Here is a 19,569-nt window from a genome sequence, read left to right as displayed (position 1 = left end):
AGCACTTTTTTCTTGTTTTTCTAATTTTTACTGGGTTGTCTTGGAACTAAATAGTAGGCTATTGGAGCTGATGTTGTTGGTTGCCTACTCTACAAGTTATTCCACATTACTTCCCTGCTGTCAGCCTGGATGTTAACCCTCTCCCACATAATTTGGGAATGACATGAAACACAGAGGCACTGTGGGCATAAAAACAACCTATAATCAGAATATATTTGAATTCCAAATAGAACAATTCACTGTTTTTCCAGAGTAGAAGGATTCCCGTGAAATCATCCTGCCAAAAGAATCTGATTGATCTCTGCAAAAAATGGTAATATATTGAGTGCTCTGCATTGATCTCTACTTGTGAAAAGTCAGATATTTAGCAGGAGCTTGATCAGCCTTAGTGAGATAAAACCCATGTTGTCAGGCCCAGGTATAGTGCCCATTTCCTGCTGTCATGGCTACTCCATTCTTGGGCTTGTGTGAACACTCATGGGACCTAGGCTGACAGCCACTGGATAAATGACTCTGTCCACTGCTGCTTCTGTGGTAGCTGCTCTTTGATGGACATTAACAAAAGACTCAAAGATCTGCACAATTTGTGTGCACTACCAGATATCCAACCCCCTTCTTCTTTACAAGACCTCCTTGGCTCCAGTCTTCCAATCCTGTTCCAACCAATCAATCTATTTACCAATCTTCAAGAATCTGGGTATTACCTTAGCTCACTTTTCTTGCCACAAATAATAATAAACAAGTGTGTGATTTGAAGTCCTGTTCATTGGGAGGATTTCCCCATCATCACCATCTTTCAGGGACATTCCTGAGTGGAATTTTAGTGGCCATGGAAGACAGCAATGTGAGAGAACCAGGCCCAGGAGTTTCCTCTGATACTCTGTCACAGGGAATACTCCATGGAGTGTTCATTCTTGGCTGAGAGAGAAAGATCTCTATTGAACTCTGTACATGAATTGAAGTAGAGGTAGTCATATGACAGAGGTAAGTGCCATGGGTCACCTATTTATATAAATTACTAAGTTGCTGAGACCTGTTCAGGCCCAATTCCCAATGCACCATTTTTGTTGCACAATAAACTGTTGTTTCCCTGCCTGTTTTATGATTTGGTGTGAGTCTGACAGTAACCCCACATCATGGGCAGCTGTAGTCACATAGTCAATAGATTACACTAAGTCAGCTGCTCAGTTTGTACTAGGATCAAGTAGTACACAGGAGCTGCTTTTGAAACAATGAGAGGTTCTTTGCTGCAGATGGCATAGTTTTGCTCCAGAATCCTAGAGGACTGTGCTGTTACTGGTCTATTTTGGCTTGTCAGAACCCCACACAGTGTTATGTTATACCACTGAGAACTTCAGTGCCATTGGATGAAGGACAACAGATGGAACCTGCTATGAAACCCTTTCCTGCTGTGGGCCCCACTCAAAACTGGCCTTCCTCCAAGGCACCCAGTAAGTGGGACAAAACAATATTCCCAAATGTAGTAGGTGTTTTCCCCATGTATAAACAGACCTTCCAAATACCTTTCCTTTTTTTTGGCGGCAGGAGACGCAAATTGTATAATAACTTGATCTTAACGGTGGGGTAAGTGTCCAACCTTGTACCAAACACCAAAATGCTGACATAGGTGTTTTTGTTTGTTTGTTTTGTTTTTTGTTTTTCTCTCAACCTCTACCAAACACTTATCTTACCAAGGTAAGCAGAGTACTTGCCTCTTTCTCCTCACCGGGTTCCATTGATGTGCCATCCATGTAGTGGCCAGGATGATGTTTTGTGGAACTCACTGTGTACTACACTGTGACAGAGGGCAGGAAAATTAGCAAGACTAGGACGAGACAATATATGCTGCTATCTAGTCTAGAACAAAGTGAACTGCATTTGAGTCTTCTTCAGGGAAGTTGAAAAGGATCCTTTTGCAGTTTAATAGCTGCATATTAAGCTCCAGAGATTATTATTTTTTCTAGTAAAAGCACAATTAGCACAATAGCTATGATTGTTACCATTCTGAGATTGATATTGCTTCTGATTTACCAATTTAGCCAGGGAGACGGAAATCTTAATTGGCATCAGTGGCCTTAACTACAATTGGTGGCTCTTACTCCACAAGTCCAGGAGACAGCGTGAAGGCTCTGGCGCCTAATAAGTTTATCCATTCCAATTATTCACTCAAGGGCTGAGTAAAAGACCGCAGGACATATCTGTATACTCTGGACTTTAAGATGGACTTGGATGAGGACTCTAACATCTGGCCTTTGTACATTCAGAACATGCATAATGGTGGCATTTTGGGTTCCTTGGTTTCAGTCAGATTATACTCTAAACATTCCAAAGTTCTAATATTCCTTTTTTGCCAGTGTACTGTTGCTCTGGTAAATGCATAGACACCTCTTTGGGAGGCTGGGCACAGTGGCTCACGCCTATAATCCCAGCACTTTGGGAGGCCGAGGCAGGCAGATCACCTGAGGTAGGGAGTTCAAGACCAGCCTGACCAACATGGAGAAACCCCATCTCTACTAAAACTACAAAATTAGCTGGGCGTGGTGGCACATGCCTGTAATCCCAGCTACTTGGGAGGCTGAGGCGGGAGAATTGCTTGAACCGGGAGGCAGAGATTGCGGTGAGCCGAGGTCATGCCATTGCACTCCAGCCTGGGCAACAAGAGGAAAACTCTGTCTTAAAAGAAAAAAGTCTCTTTGGGAGGAATATTAAGGGACTAGCTATTGTATATAATTGCTATGGCTTTGGGAGGCCCTCAAAAAGATTCTTCCTTCCCTTCCATCCATAAACTCTGGATCTCAGAACTGGTTCAAGGAGGAAAACTGGGTGAGAGACTGTTAGTATTTTTCCATTACACCACCTAATGTCAACCCATCCATTCTTGACCTGTTTTTTATTGTGTAAGCCAAATGTTTCAGGAAGTGAATTGTCACTTCTCTTTCCACTTTCTTGATAACATCATTTGATGCACAAAAGTTTTTAACTTTGACAAAATCTTATTTATTTTTTGCTTTGGCTGGTTGCACTTTTGGTGCCCTATATAAGACCACACTGCCATATCTAAAATCATGAAGATTCACCCCTATATTTTCTTCTTAAAGTATTATGGTTTTATCTCCTATATTTAGATTATATATCCATTTTGAGGTAATTTGTGTATATGGTATGAGAGGGGTTCAGCTTTTTATGCTCTCCTTTAACAGTACAGTTTATCTCTTAATGGTTACTGCTTCCTGGGAATAAGATGGGGCATGATATGACCAGTGAATATCCAGAGAATTGTCTATTGCTAGGTATTCTTGGCTGTAAACTTGGCACCATTCTTTGACTAGATATGTTTGGAAATTTAAGCATGTGACATGGTCCACTCAAGAGTTCTTGAGTGGTATGGCCTGCATCTGCCACATAGATAGGAATTGTGCCATACCCAAAAAAGGTTTCTAGCACAGTCAATGCTGGTAGTATCCTCAAGAAGAGGGTAGATCATCTGTATGGTCTATTTGCTAGGGCCTTCCAGGTTTGGTGCCCCAAGGTGTATGCCCTGGAGTCCCTTTGCCATTTGTATTAGTTTCCTGGGGCTGCCATCACAAAGTACCTAAAACTGGGTGGCTTAAACAATAGAAATTTATTCTGTCACAGTTCTGGAGGCTAGAGTGTAAGCCTCCAGAATGTGGCAGGCCCATGTTCTTTCTGAAGCCTGCTGGGGAGAATCCTCTCTTGCCTCTTCCTAGCTTCTGGTTGTTGCTGGCAATGCTTAGCTTGTTGCTGGCAATTCCTTGACTTGTAGACACATCACTCCAATCTCTGCCTCCATATCAAATGGTGTCCTCCCAATGTATCTCTATGTCTACATTTCCATCACCTTATAAGGACACCAGTCATTAGAAAAGGGCCTACTTAATCCACTGTGACCTCATTTTAACTTGATTACATCTGAAAATACCCTATTTCCAAATAAAGTTACATTCACAGGTACCGTGTGTTAGGACTTGAACATGTCTTTCTGGGAGGACACAATTCGACCCACAACAACCTGCCCTCTGCCCCCCAACCCCCACCAAAATTCATATCCTTCCTATGTGCAAAATATATTCACCTTTTCCCAATATGCCCCCAAATCTTAACCCATTACAGCATTAACTCTAACCCCAGCATCTTATCTAAATATAATAAATTCAAAAACTCCTAAATCCAATCTTGTAAATCATCTTAATCAGTCATGGTCCATCCTGGGGTAAAATTCCTCTCTGTCTACAAACCTGTGAAACTCAAAAAAACAATCTGTTTCCAAAATACAATGGTGTGCAACATAGTACTAGAGGCAAGACCACAGTTGGTGGAGTGGTGGTTGGCTGCACATACTCTTGGTAGATTGACTTCATTGAATTCTTCAGGTGAGTTTTGCTGTTCCAGCCTTTGAAACTGAACCAGGTAATATTTAATGGACATCCATATACTCAAGTGTCTGTAACTGATAATGCTAAATCTATTATAAAAATTGATGTTTTCATTATGTGTAATACTTCTCCGAATTGTAAGGGATGTTCCCAGAGTAGAAATTACACAATTACAATGGATACTGGGACAAGTGCACAGGCAGTCTTCCCTAGCCCAGCCATGTAATGTCAGTCAATAAATGCAGGAGAAGATTAATAACCTTATTAAAGAGTTGGTAGAGACAGGAGTGCTTCACTGTTCAACAAGCTGTACAGACTGCTCTCCCACTCAGGCCAATTAGTCCTAATAAGCCTTTAGAGCTACAAATGTCAGTGCCTGGTCAATGTACAAACTATAGTCACCTAAGCCTCAATCACACCTTTCTCATACATAAAAAGGTAGCCAGTTACTTTCCCAAATGTGGGTAGCCCAGAGGTTGGAGTCTGTTGGGTGCTGGTACACTGAAGTCCCCGAGGAGGCCCAGACTGGGTTAACAGATTAACTGAATTAACGGCTAAGGGGTGTACTGAGGCATTATGGCTGTACGACTACAGGAAAAACTGTTACAAATTTTACATGAAAAAGAAAACTCCAACCAATGGGCAGAGTTGTGGGTCATGGGGCTTGTCCTGGATGGCACACCTTAAAATGCATCTTGCTACATTTTCACTGACTTATGGGTAACAGCCAACAAGATGGCAAGTGGTCCAAGACCTGGACGCAGGAACAAGTCCAAAACCCTGTCAGGTGGTACATTATAACAGCAGGTAGTCCAGTATGCTTACCTCTGTCACTCACGTGGGCTCCCATGGAAAAGGACCCTTCACAATGAATATCGTTGGCATCAACAGATGTTGGGTCCAGCTGATGGGACCTGAGCCACCCAGGTAAAGACCATAGACATCTGGATATACCATCACACAGGACATGGTAGTCCTATATTCCAGGACCCTTTTTGAAATAAAATCACATTCTAGGGTTCTGGGTAGACAAGAATTTTGAAAGCGCACTATTAAACCCAGTACATTACAAGGGTCGAATTAACCATCATATCCCCGCAGTTCACGTGTCCCGAATGGTCCCGAACAAAAACGTGTCCCGCACGGTCCCCAACAACTGTGCTCTGCGCCTTTTGCAATCTCCTGCAGTGCTTCCCTGTGCTTCCGTTCCTTGCAGAGACGCCCCGGAACCTTCAGCTCTATACACCACTCCGGGAGCGGATTCAGCCCGAGTGTGACAAGCAGGCGAGCTGAGGAGGTTTGGGCTAGGACCAGGGTCCCGCGCGGCTCGGGGGCAGTGGGAGCGGGGGCGGGGTGTCCCTGTGAGTCGGAGGGTGGCCGGGGATCGCAAGTTTGGGCACGTGCGCGCGCGTCCAGGCCCCGCGCGGGGTGCGCGCCTTGGCCCTGGAAGGGCGCGAGCTTTGCTTCCAGGCTGAGCTGGGTGTGAATTAGTCCCTACGCCAGAGGATGGACCTGCGTGGGACGAGGAGTCCTCACCTGTAGAGGGATGCTGTTAATATGTCTATCAAGAAGAGTCGTTTAAGTCTTTAATCCATCTTGAATTGATTTTTGTATAAGGTGTAAGGAAGGGATCCAGTTTCAGCTTTCTACATATGGCTAGCCAGTTTTCCAAGCACCATTTATTAAACAGGGAATCCTTTCCCCATTGCTTCTTTTTCTCAGGTTTGTCAAAGATCAGATAGTTGTAGATATGTGGCGTTATTTCTGAGGGCTCTGTTCTGTTCCATTGATTTATATCTCTGTTTTAGTACCAGTACCATGCTGTTTTGGTTACTGTAGCCTTGTAGTATAGTTTGAAGTCAGGTAGTGTGATGCCTCCAGCTTTGTTCTTTTGGCTTAGGATTGACTTGGCGATGCGGGCTCCTTTTTGGTTCCATATGAACTTTAAAGTAGATTTTTCCAATTCTGTGAAGAAAGTCATTGTTAGCTTGATGGGGATGGCATTGAATCTGTAAATTACCTTGGGCAGTATGGCCATTTTCACAATATTGATTCTTCCTACCCATGAGCATGGAATGTTCTTCCATTTGTTTGTATCCTCTTTTATTTCCTTGAGCAGTGGTTTGTAGTTCTCCTTGAAGAGGTCCTTCACATCCCTTGTAAGGTGGATTCCTAGGTATTTTATTCTCTTTGAAGCAATTGTGAATGGGAGTTCACTCATGATTTGGCTCTCTGTTTGTCTGTTGTTGGTGTATAAAAATGCTTGTGATTTTTGTACATTGATTTTGTATCCTGAGACTTTGCTGAAGTTGCTTATCAGCTTAAGGAGATTTTGGGCTGAGACAATGGGGTTTTCTAGATATACAATCATGTCGTCTGCAAACAGGGACAATTTGACTTCCTCTTTTCTTAATTGAATACCCTTTATTTTCTTCTCCTGCCTAATTGCCCTGGCCAGAACTTCCACCACTATGTTGAATAGGAGTGGTGAGAGAGGGCATCCCTGTCTTGTGCCAGTTTTCAAAGGGAATGCTTCCAGTTTTTGCCCATTCAGTATGATATTGGCTGTGGGTTTGTCATAGATAGCTCTTATTATTTTGAAATACGTCCCATCAATACCTAATTTATTGAGTGTTTTTAGCATGAAGGGTTGTTGAATTTTGTCAAAGGCCTTTTCTGCATCTATTGAGATAATCATGTGGTTTTTGTCTTTGGCTCTGTTTATATGCTGGATTACATTTATTGATTTGTGTATATTGAACCAGCCTTGCATCCCAGGGATGATGCCCACTTGATCATGGTGGATAAGCTTTTTGATGTGTTGCTGGATTCGGTTTGCCAGTATTTTATTGAGGATTTTAGCATCAATGTTCATCAAGGATGTTGGTCTAAAATTCTCTTTTTTTGTTGTGTCTCTGCCTGGCTTTGGTATCAGAATGATGCTGGCCTCATAAAATGAGTTAGGGAGGATTCCCTCTTTTTCTATTGATTGGAATAGTTTCAGAAGGAATGGTACCAGTTCCTCCTTGTACCTCTGGTAGAATTTGGCTGTGAATCCATCTGGTCCTGGACTCTTTTTGCTTGGTAAGCTATTGATTATTGCCACAATTTCAGATCCTGTTATTGGTCTATTCAGAGATTCAACTTCTTCCTGGTTTAGTCTTGGGAGAGTGTATGTGTTGAGGAATGTATCCATTTCTTCTAGATTTTCTAGTTTATTTGCGTAGAGGTGTTTGTAGTATTCTCTGATGGTAGTTTGTATTTCTGTGGGATCAGTGGTGATATCCCCTTTATCATTTTTTATTGCTTCTATTTGATTCTTCTCTCTTTTTTTCTTTATTAGTCTTGCTAGCAGTCTATTTTGTTGATCCTTTCAAAAAACCAGCTCCTGGATTCATTAATTTTTTTGAAGGGTTTCAATTCAATATGGATTAAAGACTTAAACGTTAGACCTGAAACCATAAAAACCCTAGAAGAAAACCTAGGCTTTACCATTCAGGACATAGCAATGACTTCATGTCTAAGACACCAAAAGCAATGGCAACAAAAGACAAAATTGACAAATGGGATCTAATTAAACTAAAGAGCTTCTGCACAGCAAAAGAAACTACCATCAGAGTGAACAGGCAACCTACAAAATGGGAGAAAATTTTCGCAACCTACTCATCTGACAAAGGGCTAATATCCAGAATCTACAATGAACTCAAACAAATTTACAAGAAAAAAACAAACAACCCTATCAAAAAGTGGGCAAAGGACATGAACAGACATTTCTCAAAAGAAGACATTTATGCAGCCAAAAAACACATGAAAAAATGCTCATCATCACTGGCCATCAGAGAAATGCAAATCAAAACCACAATGAGATACCATCTCACACCAGTTAGAATGGCGATCATTAAAAAGTCAGGAAACAACAGGTGCTGGAGAAGATGTGGAGAAATAGGAACACTTTTACACTGTTGGTGGGACTGTAAACTAGTTCAACCATTGTGGAAGTCAGTGTGGCGATTCCTCAGGGATCTAGAACTGGAAGTACCATTTGACCCAGCCATCCCATTACTGGGTATATACCCAAAGGACTATAAATCATGCTGCTATAAAGACACATGCACACGTATGTTTATTGCAGCACTATTCACAATAGCAAAGACTTGGAACCAACCCAAATGTCCAACAATGATAGACTGGATTAAGAAAATGTGGCACATATACACCGTGGAATACTATGCAGCCATAAAAAAGGATGAGTTCATGTCCTTTGTAGGGAAATGGATGAAATTGGAAGTCATCATTCTCAGTAAATTATCGCAAGAACAAAAAACCAAACACCGCATATTCTCACTCATAAGTGGGAATTGAACAATGAAATCACATGGACACAAGAAGGGGAATATCACACTCTGGGGACTGTTGTGGGGTGGGGGGAGGGGGGAGGGATAGCATTGGGAGATATACCTAATGCTAGATGACGAGTTGGTGGGTGCAGCGCACCAGCATGGCACATGTATACATATGTAACTAACCTGCACAATGTGCACATGTACCCTAAAACTTTAATTGAAAAAAAAAAAAAAAAGAGTCGAAGACCAGGCTGCAATGCAGTAAACCATGGCGTTTATTGAGGTTTTAGGAATTGCGATTCTGGAGACGCATTGGGCTGGAAGCCAAATTGTATTCCAAAAAGAGGGAGGGGAACAGGGAGGAAATCAGAAAGGAAGCTACGGGTGTTTATGCAAGTCCTGAAAGAATTATCCGTTGGTGGAAGCGGGTGGCTTAGTACCTGAGTCCATAGTTCATTGGTTGTTACTGTTCAGGAGTTGCAACGCTGGTGAAGTTCAGCTGTTTTACATAATTTTGTGGTCGTTGCAGTTTGGCCCACTTCAAAGGTTCAAGGCAAGTTCCTTTTTTTTGTTTTGTTTTGTTTTTCCCTGCAGGTTTGTAGAATGTGCAGGCAGCCCTTAGAATGACTTCCTACCTCCAGTTTAGAGCTCTCAATCAGAGTAAGCCCATTTTGTATAGCACATCCCATCAATAATATGTGCCATGCGGAGTGGTTCTGAGTTTCACATTTTTGGCATATGTAAAAAATTTGGCACAGAGCTTAGTAGTTAACCTCAGCTGATAAGGTATTTTGAAAATACTTTTTTCTTCTCATTAGCTCTTTTATTTAGTCCTTACAACAATCTTTATGTGACTGTCTTCCATCTTGACAAACAAGAAAACTGACGGTCTGAGGGTTCAAGTGAAATGGTGAAGGTCACATGGCCAGGGTAGACCACCCTACCTAAAACCATCTTGTATTCCTGAAATCATACTGAAGTGGGTGGGGGGCGGCTGAGTGTCACCTTGTAGTCATGTATTCTGGGGTTTCTTAGCATCTTGAAGTCCTTGGGTCAGGCTGCATGACTGTGTTGCTTGGACTCCTGCACCATCCAACCTTCAGCATAGTCAGTGCCTTCAGAGTTTAGACAAGGAAGTTCTTTGAGATTTGGAACCCTGAGTGAAGTTTCTGAGTAAAATGATTTTGTCCTTTAAGCTCAGGTTTCAGCTCCTCGGAAGAAAGCAGTTCTTGTGAAGTAAGAAGAAGGCGCCCTAGGAACAGGAATCCCACCTTGAAGATTGCTTCTCTAACCTGAACGTTGTCAGCCCAACTTCAGAGCAAAGTCAGGAAACTGCCAGAAAGGGCAGAGCCTGACAGTTTGCACAGCCTGAAGTAATTCTTCCTCCTGCTCAGAATGAGTGATGCTCTGTAAATGTTATCACATCCAGAAGGTCTCCCCACTATGATGAAAGGTTTGGACCACGTCTCAGAAAAGATATGTGACTGGACTGAGTGGTGGAAAGGGGTATGCTGTGGAAATATTAATCTTGGAGGGTTGGTGTGGGCATGGTCTGCAGGGAGAGATCACTGGGCATAGCTGGAGGAGTTCTATCTCCAGTCTTTAACCAACATGCCCCACATTCAGTCTCCATGGTCTTTGTCCAGATTCTGAGCTGCTCTCACGCCATGTCCATTGTGATATGGGCCCTCTAGAGATGTGGTGCCGCCTTACCTACCCTAATCCTATAGAGGCAGAGAGTAGGGGTGTCTGTGTCTGCATCATTGCAAAGCTGAGAAACCTTGACTCTTGGATGTATAAGTAACCTGTCCAGACTCATCCAGTTTGTAAATGGCAGAGCAGGAATAGAAAACACCCATCCATCTTATAACAGGTAAGTCACCTGCCAGGTTCTGTTGCAACTGAGTTAGAAGCAAACAATCTTAAAACAGATCTTTCCCCAAAGCACTCCCACCATTTGCTGCAGCATGATTTCCTTAAGGGTTAGCAACTCAGTAGGAATGTAAGTAAACAAATATCCTGAGTATTTCACCTACAGGAGTGAACATGGCAGGTGACAATTTGTCTTCTGATATAATATTATTTGTTGAATTAGTCCCGGATTAGTTCTGAAAGAAAAATGAAATTGACCATTAGGAAGTGCAACCCAGTGAAAAGTTGCATAGTCAACTTCTGTGACATCTTGTCAGATTTACATGTGTGAATTCTCACTCATCATGGCTCTTGCTGTCTCCTCAAGGGCCAAAGAAACTTTTTCCCATAGACGAGTGTGTAACCAGTTGGTGGGCAGCAGTTTTTAGGAAGCTGAATCTCAAAGGTCCGTAGCAGGCCAGATCTCGCATGACCACCCCTGTGTTCTTCTCCCGTAACTGTACATTCAGCTTCCCCTGCACTTTCCCAAGAGCAACAGAAAAAAAGCAAATGCCAGGTGAGTTGTTTATTCATTTCTCATGTTTCCATTGCATAAAATGATAAAAGATTAACATGATAAAAATTATCAAGGAATTTATAGTTAACAGATCTAAAATAGGGAAAAGTCAACATATTAATTATAAAGATATCAAGATAATTATAATAGTTTTAGTGTGTATATATTATACATTGTGTTGTATAACTGTAATTATTAGTAACGTGCAGACTTATCTCTGATACTCTGTGCCAAAGGACAGTGCTTTGTTTTGACCGTAAGAATAAACAAAAGAGGCCAGGTGTGGTGGCTCATGCCTGAAATCCCAGCACTTTGGGAGGCTGAGGTGGATGGATCATTTGAGATCAAGAGTTTGAGACCAGCTTGGCCACATGGTGAGACCCAGTCTCTGCTAAAAATACAAAAATTAGTCAGGTGTGGTGGCGTGGCCAGCTACTTGGGAGGCTGAGGTAGGAGAATCACTTGAACCCTGGAGGCAGAGGTTGCAGTGAGCTGAGATTGTGCCACTGCACTCCAGAGTCTGCATGACAGAATGAGACTCTGTCTCAAAAAAAAAAGAATAAAGAAAAGTAATTCTTCATGGAACACAAAGACTTCCTGGCCTGAAGTCTAAGAAAATGTCTTTAACTCTCTTCATGAAAGTGATGTAGTTGACACCCTCAGTCAACAAGCCTGAAATGCATGCTGCCTGTGATTGCCACGCTGTTTGTTCTTTAGTGGCACAGATGGCAGAAAGTCAAAGGACAGCTCAATTGATCCAGGTGGTAGATTTCTTCCGTCTGCTTCATGTTCTTGTCTTCCTGGAGTTTTATAGCCTAGCATATCCCCAGGTGTTTTATAACTCTTACCCTATTTTTCTTGACAGATTACATACTCTCTAGATTTTTAACCATATCAAAGGATAAGATAACCCCTCGAGAGCTGAAACACAAAAGGTGAATTTAGCGCTTTTAAAGTGATAGCTCTCACTGGTTAGATGTGCTCTCGCTGAGCAAAGCAAACTGTTAATTTTCTGTAGGATTTTTGCAAAATATTGGTGTATTAATTTCCTGTGACTGCGGTAACAAATAACCACAGTCTTTGTGTTCTGTTAACAGAAATGTATTCTCTCCCAGTTCTGGATCAGTCTGAAATCAAAGTGCCATCTGGGCCATGCTCCTGTTGACAGATCTAGAGTAGACTACTCCCCATTTCTTCTGGTGGCTGTCAGGAGAGAAGGAGGGAAATGGAATGGAGGAAAAACTTTAAGATGAAGAAAAATAACATGCCCTAAGCCCTGTGTCAATCACTGTTCTCCAGAGAAACAACTGATAGGATATGGGTGCATGTGCCTGTGTGTGTGTGTGTGTGTGTGTATTCATTTTCAGAAATTGGTTTATGTGATTATAGGGGCTGGTCGAATGTAAAATTTGTAGGGCAGGCCAGCAGGCTGGGAGCTAGGCAGACGTTAATGCTGCAGTCTTGAGGCATAATTCCTTTTCTGAAGCCCTAACCCCCTCAATGCCTCAGAATGTGACTGTATTGGAGATAGGGCCTTTACAGAGATAATTAGGTTAAAATGAGACCATTAGCATGGGCTGTGATCCAGTCTAACTGGTGTCTTCATAAGAAAGAGAGATGAGGACATGCAACCAGGGGGATGTGTGTAGAGAGGATGACCTTGTGAAGAGACAGTAAGAGGATGGCCACCTGTAAGCCAAGGAGAGGGGCCTCAGAAGAAACCAACCCTGTTCTGACACTAGGAGCATGACAAATAAATTCCTGTTGTTTAAACCACCTAGTCTGTGGTACTTTGTTATGGCATCCCCAGAAAATGAATGTATACATATAGTGATTCTATTTTTAACATTTTGAGGAACACACCATACTCTTTTCCATAGCGGCTGCATTGTTTTATGTCCCTCCAACAGTGACAAATGTTCCAATTTCTCTATATCTTCACCAACACTTACTTTCTGTTTTTTGATAGCCATTCTAATAGCTGTGAAGTGAAGTAACATTCTCTTGAGTATAATTGAGGATACTAATAATCTCCAATGTCTCCAAAAACAGTCTCTTCTGATTCTTGATACAGATTATTATTATTATTATTTATTTTTTAGACGGAGTCTTGTTCTGTTGCCCAGGCTGGAGTGCTGTGGTGTGATCCCAGCTTACTGCAACCTCCACCTCCTGGTTTAAGTGATTCTCCTGCCTCAGCCTCCTGAGTAGCTGGGATTACAGGTGTGTGCCACCACGCCCAGCTAATTTTTGTATTTTAGTAGGGACGGGGTTTCGCCATGTTGGCCAGGCTGGTCTCAAACTCCTGACCTCAAGTGATCCACAGGCCTCGGCCTCCCCCATTTTTTTTTCCTTTGATAGTCACGTCTTCAGTTCATATTGGTACATATGTAGCTTGTGTTACTGGTTCTCAAATTTGTAGTGAAACTTCATTTTCCATTTACATTTATAAGTGAAGATTTGGTTTGATTCATGTAGGTGGCTATTGTGAGTTTAGTCAGAAATGTGGAACGCTGTTACTTCATCTGTTTACTTCCCTCAATGAAAGAGCTGACTTCAAGGATCAGTAAATGAAATCATTGGAAAGATGAACAGGAATAAATTCCCTGTCAGGTTATCAACAGGGAGCAAATACGTGACTAAAGGGATTCTCCATGTCTAAAGTGCAGGTTTCTCATACTGTGGTGTTAGACCACTGTGACCTGTCTCATAGAAGACTTGCCTTAAAGCAAAATCTTTTTCTCTCTGGTTGATTTGGCCATTATCAGAGCCCCAAGTATTTACCCATATTTACATAATACATTCTTTTTATCTGCTTTATCTTTCAGCCTCCACTGTGCTTATACAGTAGCAACATCCCAAAGGGGTCTGATAGTCCTTCAGGTGTTTCCTCGGCTAGTCCATCAGCACACTGCCCACTTGGAGTTCAGCAGTGTCTGGTGGCAATATATATTATATATGTAACACACACAGACACACACAGTGCATACAGTTGGTTCTCACTTTGCATGATAGTATGGCGCTCTAAAAATGGCTGTAAATGCAGAAACCAGACTAGAAAGCCTTTTTTTTTTTTTTCTTGAGACAGTCTCACTCTGTTGCCTAGGCTGGAGTGCAGTGGCATGAACTTGGCTCACTGCAACCTCCACCTCCCGGGTTCAAGTGATTCTCCTGCCTCAGTCTCCTGAGTAGCTGAGATTACAGGTGCATGCCACCACGCCTGGCTGATTTTTGTACTTTTGGTAGAGATGGGGTTTCACCATGTTGGTCATGCTGGTCTCGAACTCCTGACATCGTGATCCGCCTGCCTTGGCCTCCCAAAGTACTGGGATTACAGGTATGAGCCACTGCAGCCGGCCTCCTTTACCTTTTAATCATTTTTGCAAAATGTCTTAGGGGTTTGTTGCTGGGAGATAAGGAGGCCCTACACAATTACATGCTTTGTGATTTGTGAATGAACTGAGTGACAGATGTGAGTGGTCAGCCACTGGCTGACTTTGAAAGAATGACATGATTAGTCATTGATCTTGGTGTGCATCGATTGTTTTTTTTAATTTTATTTTATTATTATTATACTTTAAGTTTTAGGGTACATGTGCACAATGTGCAGGTTTGTTACATATGTATACATGTGCCATGTTGGTGTGCTGCGCCCATTAACTCATCATTTAGCATTAGATATATCTCCTAATGCTATCCCTCCCCCCTCCCTCCACCCCACAACAGTCCGCGGAGTGTGATGTTCTCCTTCCTGTGTCCATGTGTTCTCATTGTTCAACTCCCACCTATGAGTGAGAACATGCGGTGTTTTGATTTTTTTGTCCTTGCGATAGTTTGCTGAGAATGATGGTTTCCAGTTTCATCCATGTCCCTACAAAGGACATGAACTCTTCATTTTTTATGGCTGCATAGAATTCCATGGTGTATATGTGCCACATTTTCTTAATCCAGTCTATCGTTGTTGGACATTTGGGTTGGTTCCAAGTCTTTGCTATTGTGAATAGTGCTGCAATAAACATACGTGTGCATGTGTCTTTATAGCAGCATGATTTATAGTCCTTTGGGTATACACCCAGTAATGGGATGGCTGGGTCAAATGGTATTTCTAGTTCTAGATCCCTGAGGAATCACCACACTGTCTTCCACAATTGTTGAACTGGTTTACACTCCCACCAACAGTGTAAAAGTGTTCCTATTTCTCCACATCTTCTCCAGCACCTGTTGTTTCCTGACTTTTTAATGATCGCCATTCTAACTGGTGTGAGATGGTATCTCATTGTGGTTTTGATTTGCATTTCTCTGATGGCCAGTGATGATAAGCATTTTTTCATGTGTTTTTTGGCTGCATAAATGTCTTCTTTTGAAAAGTGTTTGTTCATATCCTTCACCCACTTTTTGATGGGGTTGTTTGTTTTTTTCTTGTAAATTTGCTTCAGTTCATTGTAGATTCCGGATATTAGCCCTTTGTCAGATGAGTAGGTTGAAAAATTTTCTCCCATTTTGTAGGTTGCCTGTTCACTCTGATGGTAGTTTCTTTTGCTGTGCAGAAGCTCTTTAGTTTAATTAGATCCCATTTGTCAATTTTGTCTTTTGTTGCCATTGCTTTTGGTGTTTTAGACATGAAGTCCTTCCCCATGTCTGTGTCCTGAATGGTATTGCCTAGGTTTTCTTCTAGGGTTTTTATGGTTTTAGGTCTAACATGTAAGTCTTTAATCCATCTTGAATTAATTTTTGTATAAGGTGTAAGGAAGGGATCCAGTTTCAGCTTTCTACATATGGCTAGCCAGTTTTCCCAGCACCATTTATTAAATAGGGAATCCTTCCCCCATTGCTTGTTTTTCTCAGGTTTGTCAAAGATCAGATGGTTGTAGATATGCAGCATTATTTCTGAGGGCTCTGTTCTGTTCTATTGATCTATATCTGTTTTGGTACCAGTACCATGCTGTTTTGGTTACTGTAGCCTTGTAGTATAGTTTGAAGTCAGGTAGCGTAATGCCTCTGGCTTTGTTCTTTTGGCTTAGGATTGACTTGGCGATGCGGGCTCTTTTTTGGTTCCATATGAACTTTAAAGTAGTTTTTTCCAATTCTGTGAAGAAAGTGATTGGTAGCTTGATGGGGATGGCATTGAATCTGTAAATTACCTTGGGCAGTATGGCCATTTTCACAATATTGATTCTTCCTACCCATGAGCATGGAATGTTCCTCCATTTGTTTGTATCCTCTTTTATTTCATTGAGCAGTGGTTTGTAGTTCTCCTTGAAGAGGTCCTTCACATCCCTTGTAAGTTGGATTTCTAGGTATTTTAATCTCTTTGAAGCAATGGTGAAAGGGAGTTCACTCATGATTTGGCTCTCTGTTTGTCTGTTATTGGTGTATAAGAATGCTTGTGATTTTTGTACATTGATTTTGTATCCTGAGACCTTGCTGAAGTTGCTTATCAGCTTAAGGAGATTTTGGGCTGAGACAATGGGGTTTTCTAGATATACAATCATGTCGTCTGCAAACAGGGACAATTTGACTTCCTCTTTTCCTAATTGAATACCCTTTATTTTCTTCTCCTGCCTAATTGCCCTGGCCAGAACTTCCACCACTATGTTGAATAGGAGTGGTGAGAGAGGGCATCCCTGTCTTGTGCCAGTTTTCAAAGGGAATGCTTCCAGTTTTTGCCCATTCAGTATGATATTGGCTGTGGGTTTGTCATAGATAGCTCTTATTATTTTGAGATACGTCCCGTCAATACTTAATTTATTGAGAGTTTTTAGCATGAAGCATTGTTGAATTTTGTCAAAGGCCTTTTCTGCATCTATTGAGATAATCATGTGGTTTTTGTCATTGGTTCTGTTTATATGCTGGATTACGTTTATTGATGTGCATATGTTGAACCAGCCTTGCATTCCAGGGATGAAGCCCACTTGATCATGGTGGATAAGCTTTTTGATGTGCTGCTGGATTCGGTTTGCCAGTATTTTATTGAGGATTTTTGCATCAATATTCATCAAGGATATTGGTCTAAAATTCTCTTTTTTGGTTGTTTTTCTGCTCGGCTTTGGTATCAGGATGGTGCTGGCCTCATAAAATGAGTTAGGGAGGATTCCCTCTTTTTCTATTGATTGGAATAGTTTCAGAAGGAATGGTACCAGGTCCTCCTCGTACCTCTGGTAGAATTCGGCTGTGATTCCTTCTGGTTCTGGACTTTTTTTGGTTGGTAAGCTATTGACTATTGCCACAATTTCAGCTCCTGTTATTGGTCTATTCAGAGATTCAACTTCTTCCTGGTTTAGTCTTGGGAGAGTGTATGTGTCGAGGAATTTTTCCATTTCTTCTAGATTTTCTAGTTTATTTGTATAGAGGTGTTTGTAGTATTCTCTGATGGTAGTTTGTATTTCTATGGGATCAGTGGTGATATCCCCTTTATCATTTTTTATTGCGTCTGTTTGATTCTTCTCTCTTTTCTTCTTTATTAGTCTTGCTAGCAGTCTATCTATTTTGTTGATCCTTTCAAAAAACCAGCTCCTGGATTCATTAGTTTTTTGAAGGGTTTTTTATGTCTCTATTTCCTTCAGTTCTGCTCTGATTTTAGTTAATTCTTGCCTTCTGCTAGCATTTGAGTGTGTTTGCTCTTGCTTTTCTAGTTCTTTTAATTGTGACGTTAGGGTGTCAATTTTGGATCTTTCCTCCTTTCTCTTGTCGGCATTTAGTGCTATAAATTTCCCTCTACACACTGCTTTGAATGTGTCCCAGAGTTTCTGGTATGTTGTGTCTTTGTTCTTGTTGGTTTGAAAGAACATCTTTATTTCTGCCTTCATCTCGTTATGTACCCAGTAGTCATTCAGGAGCAGGTTGTTCAGTTTCCATGTAGTTGAGCGATTTTGAGTGAGTTTCTTAGTCCTGAGTTCTAGTTTGATCACACCGTGGTCTGAGAGACAGTTTGTTATAATTGCTGTTCTTTTACATTTGCTGAGGAGAGCTTTACTTCCAAGTATGTGGTCAATTTTGGAATAGGTGTGGTGCTGAGACAAATGTATATTCTGTAGATTTGGGGTGGAGATTTCTGTAGATGTCTATTAGGTCTGCTTGGTGCAGAGCTGAGTTCAATTCCTGGGTATCCTTGTTAACTTTCTGTCTCATTGATCTATCTAATGTTGTCAGTGGGGTGTTAAAGTCTCCCATTATTATTGTGTGGGAGTCTAAGTTTCTTTGTAGGTCGCTAAGGACTTGCTTTATGAATCTGGGTGCTCCTGTATTGGGTGCATACGTATTTAGGATAGTTAGTTCTTCTTGTTGAATTGATCCCTTTACTATTACGTAATGGCCTTCTTTGTCTCTTTTGATCTGTGTTGGTTTAAAGTCTGTTTTATCAGAGACTAGGATTGCAACCCCTCCCTTTTTTTGTTTCCCATTTGCTTGGTAGATCTTCCTCCATCCCTTTATTTTGAGCCTATGTGTGTCTCTGCACGTGAGATGGGTTTCCTGAATACAGCACACTGATGGGTCTTGACTCTTTATCCAATTTGCCAGTCTGTGTCTTTTAATTGGAGCATTTAGTCCATTTACATTTAAAGTTAACATTGTTATTTATGAATTTGATTCTGTCATTATGATGTTAGCTGGTTATTTTGCTCTTTAGTTGATGCAGTTTCTTCCTAGCCTTGATTGGTCTTTACATTTTGGCATGTTTTTGCAGTGGCTGGAACTGGTTGTTCCTTTCCATGTTTAGTGCGTCTTTCAGGAGCTATTTTAGGGCAGGCCTGGTGGTGACAAAATCTCTCAGCATTTACTTGTCTGTAAAGTATTTTATTTCTCCTTCACTTATGAAGCTTAGTTTGGCTGGATATGAAATTCTGGGTTGGAAATTCTTTTCTTTAAGAATGTTGAATATTGGCCCCCACTCCCTTCTGGCTTGTAGGGTTTCTGCCAAGAGATCTGCTGTTAGTCTGATGGGCTTCCCTTTGTGGGTAACCCGACCTTTCTCTCTGGCTGCCCTTAACATTTTTTCCTTCATTTCAACTTTGGTGAATCTGACAATTATGTGTCTTGGACTTGCTCTTCTCGAGGAGTATCTTTGTGGCGTTCTCTATATTTCCTGAATCTGAACGTTGGCCTGCCTTGTTAGATTGGGGAAGTTCTCCTGGATAATATCCTGCAGAGTGTGTTCCAACTTGGTTCCTTTCTCCCCGTCACTTTCAGGTACACCAATCAGATGTAGATTTGGTCTTTTCACCTAGTCCCATATTTCTTGGAGGCTTTGCTCGTTTCTTTTTATTCTTTTTTTTCTAAACTTCCCTTCTTGCTTCATTTCATTCATTTCATCTTCCATCACTGATACCCTTTCTTCCAGTTGATTGCATCGGCTCCTGAGACTTCTGCATTCTTCACGTAGTTCTCGAGCCTTGGCTTTCAGCTC

At 41.6% G+C, this 19,569-nt stretch overlaps 1 protein-coding gene across 22 annotated transcripts in view; it reads left to right on the top strand.

Moving 5' to 3' along the window:
* Positions 1-19,569, top strand: part of ZNF248 (zinc finger protein 248) — a 99,566-nt gene that overhangs the window by 71,595 nt on the left and 8,402 nt on the right. For 7 of the 22 annotated variants that reach the window (NR_148000.2, NR_148001.2, NR_147999.2 and 4 more), the window contains one exon: positions 9,934-12,941. The exons of 2 other annotated variants lie outside the window; for them this stretch is intronic. Coding sequence is in view for 2 of the 20 variants with exons in the window: in NM_001352476.2 (NP_001339405.1) it covers positions 9,934-9,972 (39 nt within the window). In the remaining 18 variants the exon portion in view is untranslated. Of the gene's footprint in view, positions 1-9,933; positions 12,942-19,569 lie in introns of those variants that run through there. 13 more of the 22 variants (NR_147993.2, NR_147994.1, NR_147998.2 and 10 more) reach the window with 6 other exon arrangements.

The sequence above is a fragment of the Homo sapiens genome, chromosome 10 (assembly GCF_000001405.40).
Source record: "Homo sapiens chromosome 10, GRCh38.p14 Primary Assembly".
NCBI classification, from domain to species: domain Eukaryota; kingdom Metazoa; phylum Chordata; class Mammalia; order Primates; family Hominidae; genus Homo; species Homo sapiens.
This window is presented reverse-complemented; position numbering and strand designations above follow the sequence as displayed.